The sequence below is a fragment of the Homo sapiens genome, chromosome 1 (assembly GCF_000001405.40).
Source record: "Homo sapiens chromosome 1, GRCh38.p14 Primary Assembly".
Lineage (NCBI taxonomy): Eukaryota > Metazoa > Chordata > Mammalia > Primates > Hominidae > Homo > Homo sapiens.
Genome location: NC_000001.11, coordinates 168,576,234 through 168,588,489, shown reverse-complemented (window position 1 = coordinate 168,588,489; position 12,256 = coordinate 168,576,234). Strand labels below are relative to the sequence as shown.

General features: G+C 41.4%; 1 protein-coding gene and 1 pseudogene across 1 annotated transcript; one reads left to right on the top strand and one right to left on the bottom strand.

The window, feature by feature from the left end:
- Positions 1 to 6,420: 6,420 nt before the first annotated feature.
- Positions 6,421 to 11,885, bottom strand: XCL1 (X-C motif chemokine ligand 1). The gene is made up of 3 exons (NM_002995.3): positions 11,792 to 11,885; positions 8,313 to 8,427; positions 6,421 to 7,438 (listed from the first exon to the last, which is right to left on the bottom strand). Exons 1-3 carry the CDS (start codon positions 11,850 to 11,852, stop codon positions 7,270 to 7,272), a joined length of 345 nt encoding a protein of 114 aa, NP_002986.1. The 5' UTR covers positions 11,853 to 11,885; the 3' UTR covers positions 6,421 to 7,269.
- On the top strand, positions 9,027 to 9,889 carry RPL7AP21 (ribosomal protein L7a pseudogene 21; annotated as a pseudogene).
- Positions 11,886 to 12,256: the final 371 nt, after the last annotated feature.

The following is a 12,256-nucleotide window of genomic DNA, read 5'->3' as shown; positions in this document are numbered from 1 at the left end:
TGAATAGAGCAAAAGTGAACCTTGCTTTCATGGAGTTTGCAGTCTAATAGAAACAGCAAATTGATCAAATAATTAACAAAAATATCTTGGTCTCTTCCACCTTCACACCTTTTTGCCTACATTACCTCTCACATTTGCTTTGGCTTTTAAATTAACTCACCCTCCATGGCCCAGTCAAAATCTCTTTATCCGTGACACAAACCTTCACTGACCAACCCAGTCAGCCCACAGGCTTTCTCTGAGCCCCATATGCTATGGACCATACCAGAGTCACTGAATGATCTAAGGGCAGGCCTGCATGAGCCAGCTTACAGCACAATGCAGACATCAATAACTGATCATAGCACTCCCTGCCGAGCCAGGAAGTAATGTCAAGGTCTCATTCAACACAGAAAGTCCACAGCCACTACCAATTAATTGGAGTTGATATTATGAAAGAAATGTACTGTCATCCTCAGTCCATTCCATTTACTAGGCAGTTATCAGTGAACTCTGACTTTCACTGTCATCATATCCTCATGCATAGGTATACCTCTACAACTACAATGTAATACATAAGTTGCAGGGACTGGATCTTATGTTCCTTCTACTAGTTCTAATTCAGCAACTGTGTGTTGAGCACAGACCATGGGAAAGCCCTCTTGTAGATGCTAAAGGAAATATAGAGATTAATAAGACATAGTTCCTGCTCCAAGAACTCCTGATCTTTTTTTGAGGGATGAGAAGTTTACAAATATCTACAATTCAGGGAAGAATAAAATGAATGCCAAAAGAAAGGCCTCGAGGTTTGGAAAAGCCATAAAATTAGATCTGGTTCAAAGGACAAGGAAGGTTTCTTGGAGAAAGTAGCATCTGAGATGGATGCTGATGATGGCAGAAGGAAGAAAGAGGAGGCAGAGTGTTGCTCTCCAGGCGCAAAGAAGAGCCTAAGCAAAGCCACTGGAAGAGGAAAGTTAGGATCCATCAAGTATTCTGTTTTGGCCCCAAGAATACTTAGTACGGCATCTTATTCAGAGTAGGTACTTGATATGGTTTGGCTGTGTCCCCACCCAAATCTCATCTTGAATTGTAGTTCCCATAATCTCCACATGTCAGAGGGAAGACCCAGTGGGAGGTAATTTAATCATGGAAGAGTTTACTCTCATGCTGTTCTTGTGATAATGAGTGAGTTCTCACGAGATCTGAGGATTTTATAAAGGGCTTTTCCCCCTTTTGTTAGGCACTTCTCCTTGCTGCAGCCATGTGAAGAAGGACATGTTTGCTTCCCCTTCTGCCATGATTGTAAATTTCCTGAGGCCTACCCAGCCGTGCTTAACTGTGAGTCAATTAAACCTCGTTCCTTTATAAATTACCCATTCTCGGGTATGTCTTTATTAGCAGCATGAGAACGGACTAATACAGTACTCAATGAGTGCTAGTAGGTAGAAACTTTAGGTGGCACTGGTAAATTAACAATCTACAGGGGCCAAAGAGTCTGTGAGCACCTCATATTCACACACACAAGCACACATGCAAACTCCAAAACAACAGACATTTCCAAAAGTGGGACTCCAGTCTCTAGCAACTTACAGAGACACCAGAAGTGAGGGGACCTAAGCAAATTCCTCTGTTGGATTGTGTTGATGCTTTTAATGAATTGTAGCATTATTCTTTCAGGATAATGGATCTAAGCACATTTTTGGTCTCTAACAATGCTTTAAGAATGTGCGTTCAATAGCTGATCCTGGGATATTAATAAACAGTACATGGATAGGGGTTCTGTGCTCATATTAACCTTAGGAAACACTAAGATAGGTGATATTTAATGGTTATATATTCCACAGTACTTCTTAGAGATTTTGACATGCTATGTCAAAGAGGAGTGGGATGTTTTGATCATTTCCTAAATACATGTGACCGTAGAGTCTTTTTTTTAGTGGAGGCTCTCATGGAATAAGTATTACATAGACCACTCTATGATTTATGTGTTATATGCAATTATAGAAAATATTTTTAAAAAGCCTTGCCTAAATGATGAAGACAGATCTCAACCAGTAAATTGTCAGCTACCAGGAACTCTTGAAGATGCTTGATACATCTATTCCCTTTTCCATCCATCCTCCATTTTACCGCATCCTACTCCACTGACTAAGGTTAACAAAAGCTGACATTTACTGAGCCTGTACTATGTGCCAGGCTCTATTTTAAGTGCTAGAACCCTCACAATAAGCCCACAAGTTTGGCACTAGTATTATTATTATTCCGATTATATAAGTGAGGCAACCTGAGGCACTGAGAAATTAAGGAATTTCCCCACAGCCACCTGTATGGTATGTGGTGGAGCCAGTGTACAATCCAGGCAGAGCTAAGGCTCCTAGCAACCACACAAGTTTCTTCCCCAGAGAGAGCAAGAGAGAGAGAGAGAGATCAGATGATGGCCCCTCCCTCTTTCATCCACTGCCTATGATGGGTTTAGTTCTCCAATATTCTACTCTCTCATCTACCTCCCCACCCACCCAACCTTCAACCTTCCATCCAGTCTTCAGAGAAAGGGAAGTCACTCTTCCTTCATACAACACCTGGTGACTCCAAGTAAGATAACCTCTGTCTGGCCATGCGGTCTTTTGTTTCCTTATTCTACACGGTGGAACTTCTTTCAAATATTTCATTCAGCAGTTCCACCTTGATGAGACAAATCACAAGTTTTGGAAAGAAGCAGATTATAAATCCAGTCTTAACAATTACTCTAGGCAGCACAGTGTGACAGAAAGTCAACATACATCACTTGTATTTGGTTGAAATGTCTTTTGATGAGGAGGAACTTTCTCTTAGCTGAGAATCCTCTAATTTTCCTTCCTAGCCTCCAGAATAATAGCTCCAGGTTATTCCTCTAGCCTTCTTCCACCCTCAGCAGTCTGTTCAAATGTTTACTACTTCTTCCCCTAAAAAGAAAAAAAAAAGTCCCTTTGGCTTCTTCCTCACCTTCCCTCATCAAACTCCACCTTTCAGTCATGCTTGTGTGCCCCTGATCTCCACTCTAAACCTCTTTCACCTCATTTATCTTTTTGTCCCATTACAGATTCATCTCTGCTCCTTTCTGCCTCCCACTGCCATGTGACAAATCCCTTTTAAAATAGCTCTGGTGACTCACCCGGCAGATACTGTATTCCATTTATATGTACCTTTTTTATTCCCCAAGGGGCATGAAGAGTTTCACAGAAATTCAGGCTTATTTTTGCCTCGGTCTTGTAAAAGAATTGTCTGTAAGAAGGGAATAAAAATATAGTTTGGGCTTTTGTCAGAATAACGTGAGTATTAAGGCTGATAACCAGGTTTTCACTTTTCCAGAATTTTTCTTCTCCTCGCCTCCCTCTCCTTGGTGTTTGTTATTTCCTTCAGGATTTATTAGTAGCCTCACCAGAAGTCAGACTTTAGCCTTACCAAGCAGTTGTGCTGTTTCTGAACCAGTCACCCATGCTGGAAACCTCAGAGCTGGTTCCAGGCCTCTAGCTGGTTCACGCCCATTGCCCAGTGGGTAACCAGGCCAGTCCAGCACTATCGTGGGGTCCTCACCTCTATTCCACTGCCACCACCTGACTCAGGCCAACATCTCCTCCAACCTGCACCAAGACAATGATTGCCTAATGGCCCCCACTGCCCTCAACCATTTTCCTCCAAATTGTTATTCTCCATCCCTCATCTGAGCATGCTGCAACCTGGGTCCCTCTGTCTAAGATCCTATCCATTGTCATGGTACTCAGGCCTTCTCAGTCCGGCCTCAAGCTACCTTTCCTCTATAAACCTCTATAAACCTGAGCTCTATAACCCACCCATCCTGGAAACAAGCAGCTCCCCCACACATGCCTCAGTTTCCCTGCATCTGTGCTTTCATTCATTTGGCCCTTCTGGCAGGAGTGCCTACCGTGGCCTTTTCCTGGCAAGCTCTTTCTCAGGTTCAAAGGCACCTCTTCGGCGAAGCTTTTCCTAACTTCCCCAGGGTGGACTTAAATACACAGAAGACTGTATTCCTATAGCTTTTTATGATAACTGTTAGTGGACAGATATGTATAAGGTAGTACTTATCACAAAAATGTATTGGAAGGCTATGATGTCCCAGGCACAAGTACATAGACATCAAATTCATAGTCCTTAACCTACTTCTAAGTAAGACAGAAAATAAAGTCAAATAAAATGGTATTTCAGGATGATATAAGCAGTAACAGAGATGAGCCCAGGGGCTGAGCAGGTACATGGGGGTGATGGGGCTCATCTAGACTGGTGACATCAGAAAGGTCTCCAAGGGAAGTCAAGCCCTGAGCTGGGCCATTTGGAACATCCAAATGGGAATGGCTTTGATGACTGTCATGAGCATCAGGACAGCAGGCTAGATCCTGTTCCCATGTGCTCTGCAGGTGCTCAGCAAATATTCAGGACATTGAATACATTAGAAAAGGCTTGGTCTGTGGATCTCTGAAACTCCACTGATACAACCCAGCCTCCTTCTTCCTCTGGGTGGTTGGCTCCAATTGTGTTCTCACTGATCCAACTTTAGCTTAGCCAAAGAATAATGAAAGTAATAAGGTGATTTCCAGGAATGCTATTTTCTCCCATCCAAGCCCTGGCTCTCTACAGCCAAGGAAATTGGTGAAAGGAGTCACTGGCCCAAGGTGTTCGGCATGCACAACTGAGCCACAGCGTGAGTCACACAGTCATGCATAACTAATGTGCTCCCTGGCTAAGCAGTAAAGGCCCATGAAGTAAAGGTAAAAGGTGTTGCACCACGCCAGGCCAAGTTCAGAAGTCACGAGGTCCAGAGCCCCCTCCCAATTGGCTTCCTGACTCCTATCTTGTTCTCTACGCTCCATCTTCCACCTGGCAGCTGATGTCATTTCCCACAGCCTTTAAAACGAAGTACATGCTCTTTGGTCTGGCAGACAAGGCCCTTCATAGTATCTGCTCTGCCTCCCTGACCTCACCTTTTGCACCCACTTCCTAACCCCCGCACTGTCCCTCGGTCATATTAAACTACTTGCCTTTCCTTAATTCATCAGGATTCCTCTTACCTGCAGGCCTTTGCCTGTGATGCTTGTTCTCTTTGCCTAGAATGCACTGAAACCTTCAGCATAACTCTAAATCTTCTTTCCGGTCTCAAGTTAGAGGATATTTTCAAGGGGAAGCTCATCTTTACCCTCCATTCATGCTAAGATCTGGATAGGTTTGCTCCTGTGTGTCCAAAGCTCACACCCTCTGCTTTCTCCATCATCCCACATATTACACTGCATTGAAATCGTTTGCTTACTTGTGTGTCTCCCCAGTGTAAACCCCCAGAAGATAAACACCTGAAGGTTTCACCATTGCATTCCAGTGCCCAGCCAAGCATCTGGAATCCATTAGGCATGCAATAACAATGTATTGGTGGAGTGAGTTCCTGGGGAAGGGAAGCAAGAAAGATTTTCCCAGAATGTAAGCTCTAAGAAAGCAGTGACTTTGTCCTGTTCACTCTGCTGTGTCTTCAGTTTCTGGCATATAATAAACGTTCAGTAAACATTTATTGAACGAATGAATGAATGAAGTCTGTAGGTTAAATAAGGATAACCCCTGAATCATCTCTTTACATATGGTTTGGCCCGAAGGGAATTGTCTTCTGAAGTGAGAAAGACAGCGTGACACAGTTGTCAACACCCTGAATCTTGCATGAGTTCAGATCTAAACTCTACCCCTCACAGACCAAGGGACCTTCAGAAAGTTAACTAACCCTTTTATGCCTCCGTTGTCTTGTCTTTAATTGAGCTCTGTAATGTGATTAAGTGAGCTCATATTTGTACAGCAAGAAAATAGCTATGGTTATATATTTTAACAACTATTTATTATTTAAAAGATAGAACAGCCATAAAATGAAAAGTCAAGCACTGCCCATATCCTTCCACACATCCTATTATTATTATCCCAAATAAATCCTTAGGGTCTGGGAGACATTTGGCAGACAAACCATTCCATTCATCTTTTGTGACTTTGTTATTTTTCAGCCTTCATGAAGCAGGATGTCTGTTCTTATTAAGGGATTGCTTTCTCTAAGACCACCTCTGAAGTTTATTTTAGACAAATATCAATGAACATGGATAGGTGACCACACCGTTTGCTAGGAGGCAACTTTTTAGTAGTTTCCACTCTGATTCACTAGTTGTATGACTAGAAGTGAGCAGATTTGAACAAGTTGCTTTCATCTACCCTCTGAAAATTCATGATATTGTTAAATGCCCCCACAAGAATAAACAACAGCCAATATTTTTCACTTAAAACTATCAAGGCAAGGTCAGGTCTTCCTATTCAGAGTCTGATAGAAGAGAATGTATACATCGTCAGCTACTTGGATAGTAAAACCCTAAGCATGAAACAAATCAGCAATTTAATTAGCATACAAGACAGCATGAATCTGGGGTGTTGAGTTACCAGATGAGCATTTAATTAAAAGTTTACTGCAAATTGTGATCACATGAGGAAATATTGCATGGGTCAGCATTTGGAGCATTAAAAGCTTATTCGCAGTAAAGCATAACATGCATGATAACTAGCGTAATGGCAAATACAGAAATCCTAATAAGGTAGTGAGATTATTGTCCAATTCAAAGGGTATTGATTTTTACTTGAATAAAGTTTCTTTATACCAAAATTCTAATTTTTGCTAATGGGACAAAAAAGGGACAAGTTGTGTCATTTTATTCCTTTAATAGGACACCAAAATAAAACACAAAGAGGTGAAAAAAATTGAGTGAAGCAAATTTTTGAGTAGTGGACCCTCAGAATGGGAACCCAGTGAAGACTGGATTATTTTCTCCCTTATTCTATAAACAGAATTCTATTATAGAGACAAGTTGAAATACATCTCAAATTGTTGCCATTGTCACAGCTGTAACTTGTGACTGATGTGTAAAGAACCATTACAAGCTGGACTCTAAGAGAGATTGATATAGCTTTCACCTCTGATAGACACTAGCCAGAATCTCTTCCATTATGGTTACCATCAAAGAGAGGTACAAGGTCAGAAATCAAACAACAATGATACACTACCTTTCCCTAAATATAATGAATAGACTAGGGAACTATTCTTAATAATAAATAATTTATTAATTAGAACATATAAGTGAATACAGAAGACATTTAAAAGTAAAAATACAAAGGAATAATTTTATTCATGCAGTGCTTTCATAAAAGGTGAGTATAAACTCAGTCCATGAGCGTGTAAAGTGAAATGAGCTGGCTGGCTGGAGACGGACAGGGTGCCAGAGACTACTAGCCAGTCAGAGTCACAGCTGTATTGGTCGATTGCTGGGTTCCTGTTGGCTTGGTCTGGATCATGTTATTTCTGGTGTTGGATTTCCTGTCCATGCTCCTGACCACGTCTCTCACCCATGTGGCTTGTGGATCAGCACAGACTTTTAGGCCACGTTTGGTAATAAAACTGTAACGCAAGGAAAAGACAGACGAAGTTAGCCACATTCTCAAAGCCTCAGGGTCAGGAGTTAAGATCAGGGCAGACATGAAGAGATCTTGTGCAGAAATTACTGCAAGAAATAGTCTTTCAGAGCCATGAGATCATAAATGAGTACCCTTCTTCTGCCATCTATTTTAACATAAAGGAGTAATATCTGCAAGTAGTATCCAGCCCCTTTGTTCACAATAATTCACAGGGTCCTTTTCTCATCCATGTCACCAAATGTTGTAACAAAAAGACTTTGAGGCCAACTAGTTCCATTATTACATAACCTCTTCCTTTTCAAATTTAAAAATATTCATCTTATTTTTTAAATAAAAAGTGATTTTTACATTTTCATTTTTTAGAGTAAAGCTTGCAATTACATGTTGAGAAGAGTTATTACTTCTAAAAATGAGATTCTGGTAGAAGAAAGGGACCATGTAGGTTGTGCATTGACTCATTTTCTTGAAATATGGCAACTGATAAAAGTATGGGACTCTGCCTGACTCAACCCTAAGATCCCCCAACTCCAGTGAGGCTTGCAGGGAAACCCTGACATGGGCCAGTCATCTCTAAACCCAGGTCTCAGAGCTGTGCACAGTATTCAACAGACTCTTCCACTAAGCTAAATAGAGGAGGACTTCTATTCTTTCTTTGGCAGCCCAATTTCTGCAATAATCGCTATTCGGTTGGGCTGCAGAAAGACATGATTGATAAGGAAAACTAAAGAGGTTTTTGGTTAAGTTGAGGTGTTCCTCTATGCTGACCTACTTTTCCTGAGGACGGCAGCATTTCTACAGAGTGTATTTCTATACTTCTAGATACCCACCCAGCACAACTTCTGAGGAGGCAGACTCACATTACTGCTCTCAAGGAGCCTTCCGTGATGGTGTAGGTCTTGATTCTGCTAACCGGCAGTCGCTGGGTAGTGAGGCTCACACAGGTCCTCTTATCTGAGACTTCACTCCCTACACCTGGTGAGGAAAAAAAAACAACAGACAATTAAAAATAAAGCAATTATCCAGATCACAGGAACAATCATCTGTTAAATTACTCTGAGAATGTTGTGAGAATTTAAGGCCATTTGCTTTTTGGGGGAAGAGAGGACTGATAGGCATCCCGAATCTCTTGCCCGTCACAGATTCTTAGTAAATATTTGACTAATTTAAAAACTCAATCAACAGAATTGTTTCAGGAATTTCATGCTGAGAGAAAATAACAAGATGTTATCCCGTCTCTGTGTATATTTTCACTTAGACATTTGGGACGGCTAGCAAATGCCCCAGTGACACGCATTCATTCATTTATACAATGGTGCCTGTTGTGTCCCACATGTTTTACTAAGCAGACATTACTCCTGTTTTCATAGAGCATATCTTCTCATGAGGGAGCCAGGCAGCAGACAGGCAAACAGAAAAGATCATTTCAAATAGTGCAACATGTTACAGTACCATAAGTGAGATGACAGAGTAATGCGTGAAGAGTACTCTAGGCAAGGCAACATTCAGTGAGGGAAGGAAGCATGCTTTTGACAGACTAAATAAAGGTGTTCTCCTTTTTAAATGGTCAAATGTCTCTCTCTGTCAGCTGCCTAAGATGCTGAAAGGAAAGATGGCCAAAGGAAGGAAAGTGGCCCCAGACCCTGCCGTCGTGAGGAAGCAGGAGGCTAAGAAAGTGATGAAACCGCTGTGTGAGAAAAGGCCTAAGAGTTTTCTTAGGCAGGCATTGGACAGGACATCCAGCCCAAAAGGGACCTCCGCTGCTTTGTGAAATGGCCCCGCTATATCTGGTTCCAGCTGCAAAGAGCTATCCTCTATAAGCAGCTGAAAGTGCCTTCTGCCATTAACCAGTTCACCCAAGCCTTAGACCCCCAAACAGCTACTCAGCCACTTAAGCTGATCCACAAGTACTGACCAGAGACAAAGCAAGAGAAGAAGCAGAGACTGTTGGCCCAGGCTGAGAAGAAAGCTGCTAGCAAAGGGGTTGTCCCCACTAGGAAATCACCTGTTCTTTGAGCAGGGGTTAACACTATCACCACCTTGCTGGAAAAGAAGAAGGCTCAGCTGGTATTGCACATGGTGTGGACCCCATCAAGCTGGTTAACTTTCTGTCTGTCCTGTGTCCTAAAATGGGGGGTCCCTTAATGCATTATCAAGGGGTAAGAAGGCAAGACTGGGACATCCAGTCCACAGGAAGCACCACTGTGGCCTTCACACAAGTTAACCAGGAAGACAAAGGAGCTTTGGCTAAGCTGGTGGAAGCTATCAGGACAAATTACAATGACGGATATGATGAGATCTGCAATGTCCCGAGTCCAAAATCTGTGGCTCACAATGCCAAGCTGGAAATAGCAAAGGCAGAGGAACTTGCCACTAAACTGGGTTAAATGTACACTGTTGAGTTTTCTGTACATAAAAATAATAAAAACTCTCCAAAAAATTAATAAATGGTAAAAGGTAAGATATATATAAAAGGAAGTCAGCCCTTAAATATGCATCCCCAATAGTAATGGCCCAAAGGAATTAAACTATTAAGTGTAGAGAATCATCTTACATTGCAAGAGGAAAAATAACTTGGGAGAATTAATACTGTTAAGGGTTGGGTGAAATCTAATCCAAGTTTCTAAGTGCTGATTTTCTCCTTAGCTGTAGACACTGGTCTTTGCTTCCCAGGGAAATAGGCAGCTAAAAAGCATCTAAAGTAACCACTGATAATGGCCAACATTGGTCTGTAGTGTTGCTAATATCAGAAGGCATTTTTTAAAGCAAGGGACTAAACAAAGAGTGTTCATTGTGTGCTTTTCTTCATCATTTCTTCACTCTCAATGCCAGTCTGCACATTGCTATCCTCTACCTTTGCCAATTTATTTTTAGTGGTGAATTGTTTCTGTAGCCAATGAAAGAGGAAAAATCTGGGTTTTTTCTCTGTTTCTCTCATATTTAAGAAACAATATTTCTCTCTGTGAAGTATCTGAAGTGGACTCCTAAGACTCAGGGAATCCTGTTATGCTTGAAACCACAAAGCCTTTTCCTTATTGTCAGCAATGTTTGAGTGTCTGTGTTATTTTTTAAAATATCACCTTCACTCAGGTTGCAAAATTGAGTCAAAGCAGAGACCGTTTTCCCTCATTTTTGTATGTAAGAAGCTAAGCACCAGTGGGACTTATAGAGCTCCTTCAACTAGAAAACTTGGGAATTTGAGACCAGTGTCTGCAGTTCTTCTCAGCCTCTAACAGAGCTCCTTTCCCCTACTCAGATCTGAGTCTCCCTCAAATGGTATGCCCATTGTCTCAGCAAAATGCCAGCCAGGTAGCAACATGTGGCCTAATGTAGTAATCAAACTCTTTTGTTTCATCAGTATTTTTTTGTTTTATCCATAATTTCAAGGACTTCCAGACTTAGCCACCTTTATTCATGGAACCCCTTGGGGACCCATTATTAAGTTATAATATCATAGTCTAAGTAATAAGCCTACCAACTAGAACACAAATAAGTCGACAGATTCACTCCAGTCATAGGAAAAATTAATCCTTAAGAAATACCTACTGAATGCTCAGGTAAGGGCTCGGTATATCTGAATCTTACCTGGATGTGTCTTGCAGGTTTATTGAACTGTGTATAAGGTGCTGATCTATTTGGTAGTAGTTATTATTGTATGTTCTCTTACAAAAACAGAAAATTTCTCATAAATAGTAATAGTCATGGCATTACTAACAGAGTCCCCCACGTACTTGAAGGTAATATTGATTTTCTGGACATGAAGGTTTGAACTTCCAGTCATTTGGGGCTTAGTTTTGTATTGAAAACATTGATTTACTCCAGAACATACATCCTCTGGTGCATCCCCACATTGTAACTGAACTCTCTAAGATTTTGATAATTTATCAAACTATATATTAAATGGGCAAAACCTACAAATGCATTTATAATCATCACCTCTAATCCATAGCTAACATTAATCAAAAAATTACTGCTTGTAAGGAAATCTGATGTTATTAAATAAACCATAATATTTATTTAATCTTAATCTCAGGTGATCATGTCTGTTATACTATTCAGTTATACATAAATAAGCACAGGCCCTGAGTGGTTAAGGAATTTACCTGAAATTACCCAATTAGGAAAAGTAGGAGCCCAGATACTAATCAAATTCTCCCTGTTTTGGAAGTTTACGAAGCCCTCTACAGTCAAAATCATCATTCCTTTCTTGCACATGGGAAGTTTAAGGCTCCCCTGGGGAAAGCAGGTTAGTCCAGTCATAACCTGAGTCAAACCCAAAATGTGTGCCCACCTGCCTTGCCTCCCTGTTCTTTATCTCACAGACAGCTTCTCCACTTACCTTCCACAATGTATGCAGTGAGAGAGCAGATGCCAAGGAGGGCCAGGATGAGAAGTCTCATGGCTGAGGTCCTGCTGAGCTGTGCAAGGAGAGTGAGGATCGGGCTCTTTGAGGACCTCTTTTATGCCTCCAGTGGTCAGTGCACTTCCTGTGGTGAGAGGGGGCTTTCGAGGTGGGTGTAGGATCATGGAAAGTCTTTGCAATACTGATGCTTTTATTTTTCTTAAAAAAAAAAAAAAAAAAAGTCCCTTTCCCTGTTCATACTAACCTAACGCCTTGTGGCCTTTACCCCTTTGTCTGTGGTTAATGTGTCAATTAAACCAAATGCATGCATAAAAGAAAACGTGGTTGTGTTGTCTCCTGCCACCAGCCTGAATTCAGATCTTCCACCGTAGACATGCCTGAAGGCTGTTCACTGCCATGGCCCACCACGGAAGCTGTAAAGGAAATGAGGTGGGGTGGTCA

Bases quoted from the DNA above. Each gene is read 5' to 3' on its own strand.
- XCL1 (NM_002995.3), bottom strand. From the start codon at position 11,852: ATGAGACTTCTCATCCTGGCCCTCCTTGGCATCTGCTCTCTCACTGCA. The intron at 8,428-11,791 runs GTAAGTGGAGAA...TTTCCTCACCAG, and splicing joins CACTGCATACATTGTGGAAG to GTGTAGGGAGTGAAGTCTCA. The intron at 7,439-8,312 runs GTGAGTCTGCCT...CTTGCGTTACAG, and splicing joins GGCTCCTTGAGAGCAGTAAT to TTTTATTACCAAACGTGGCC.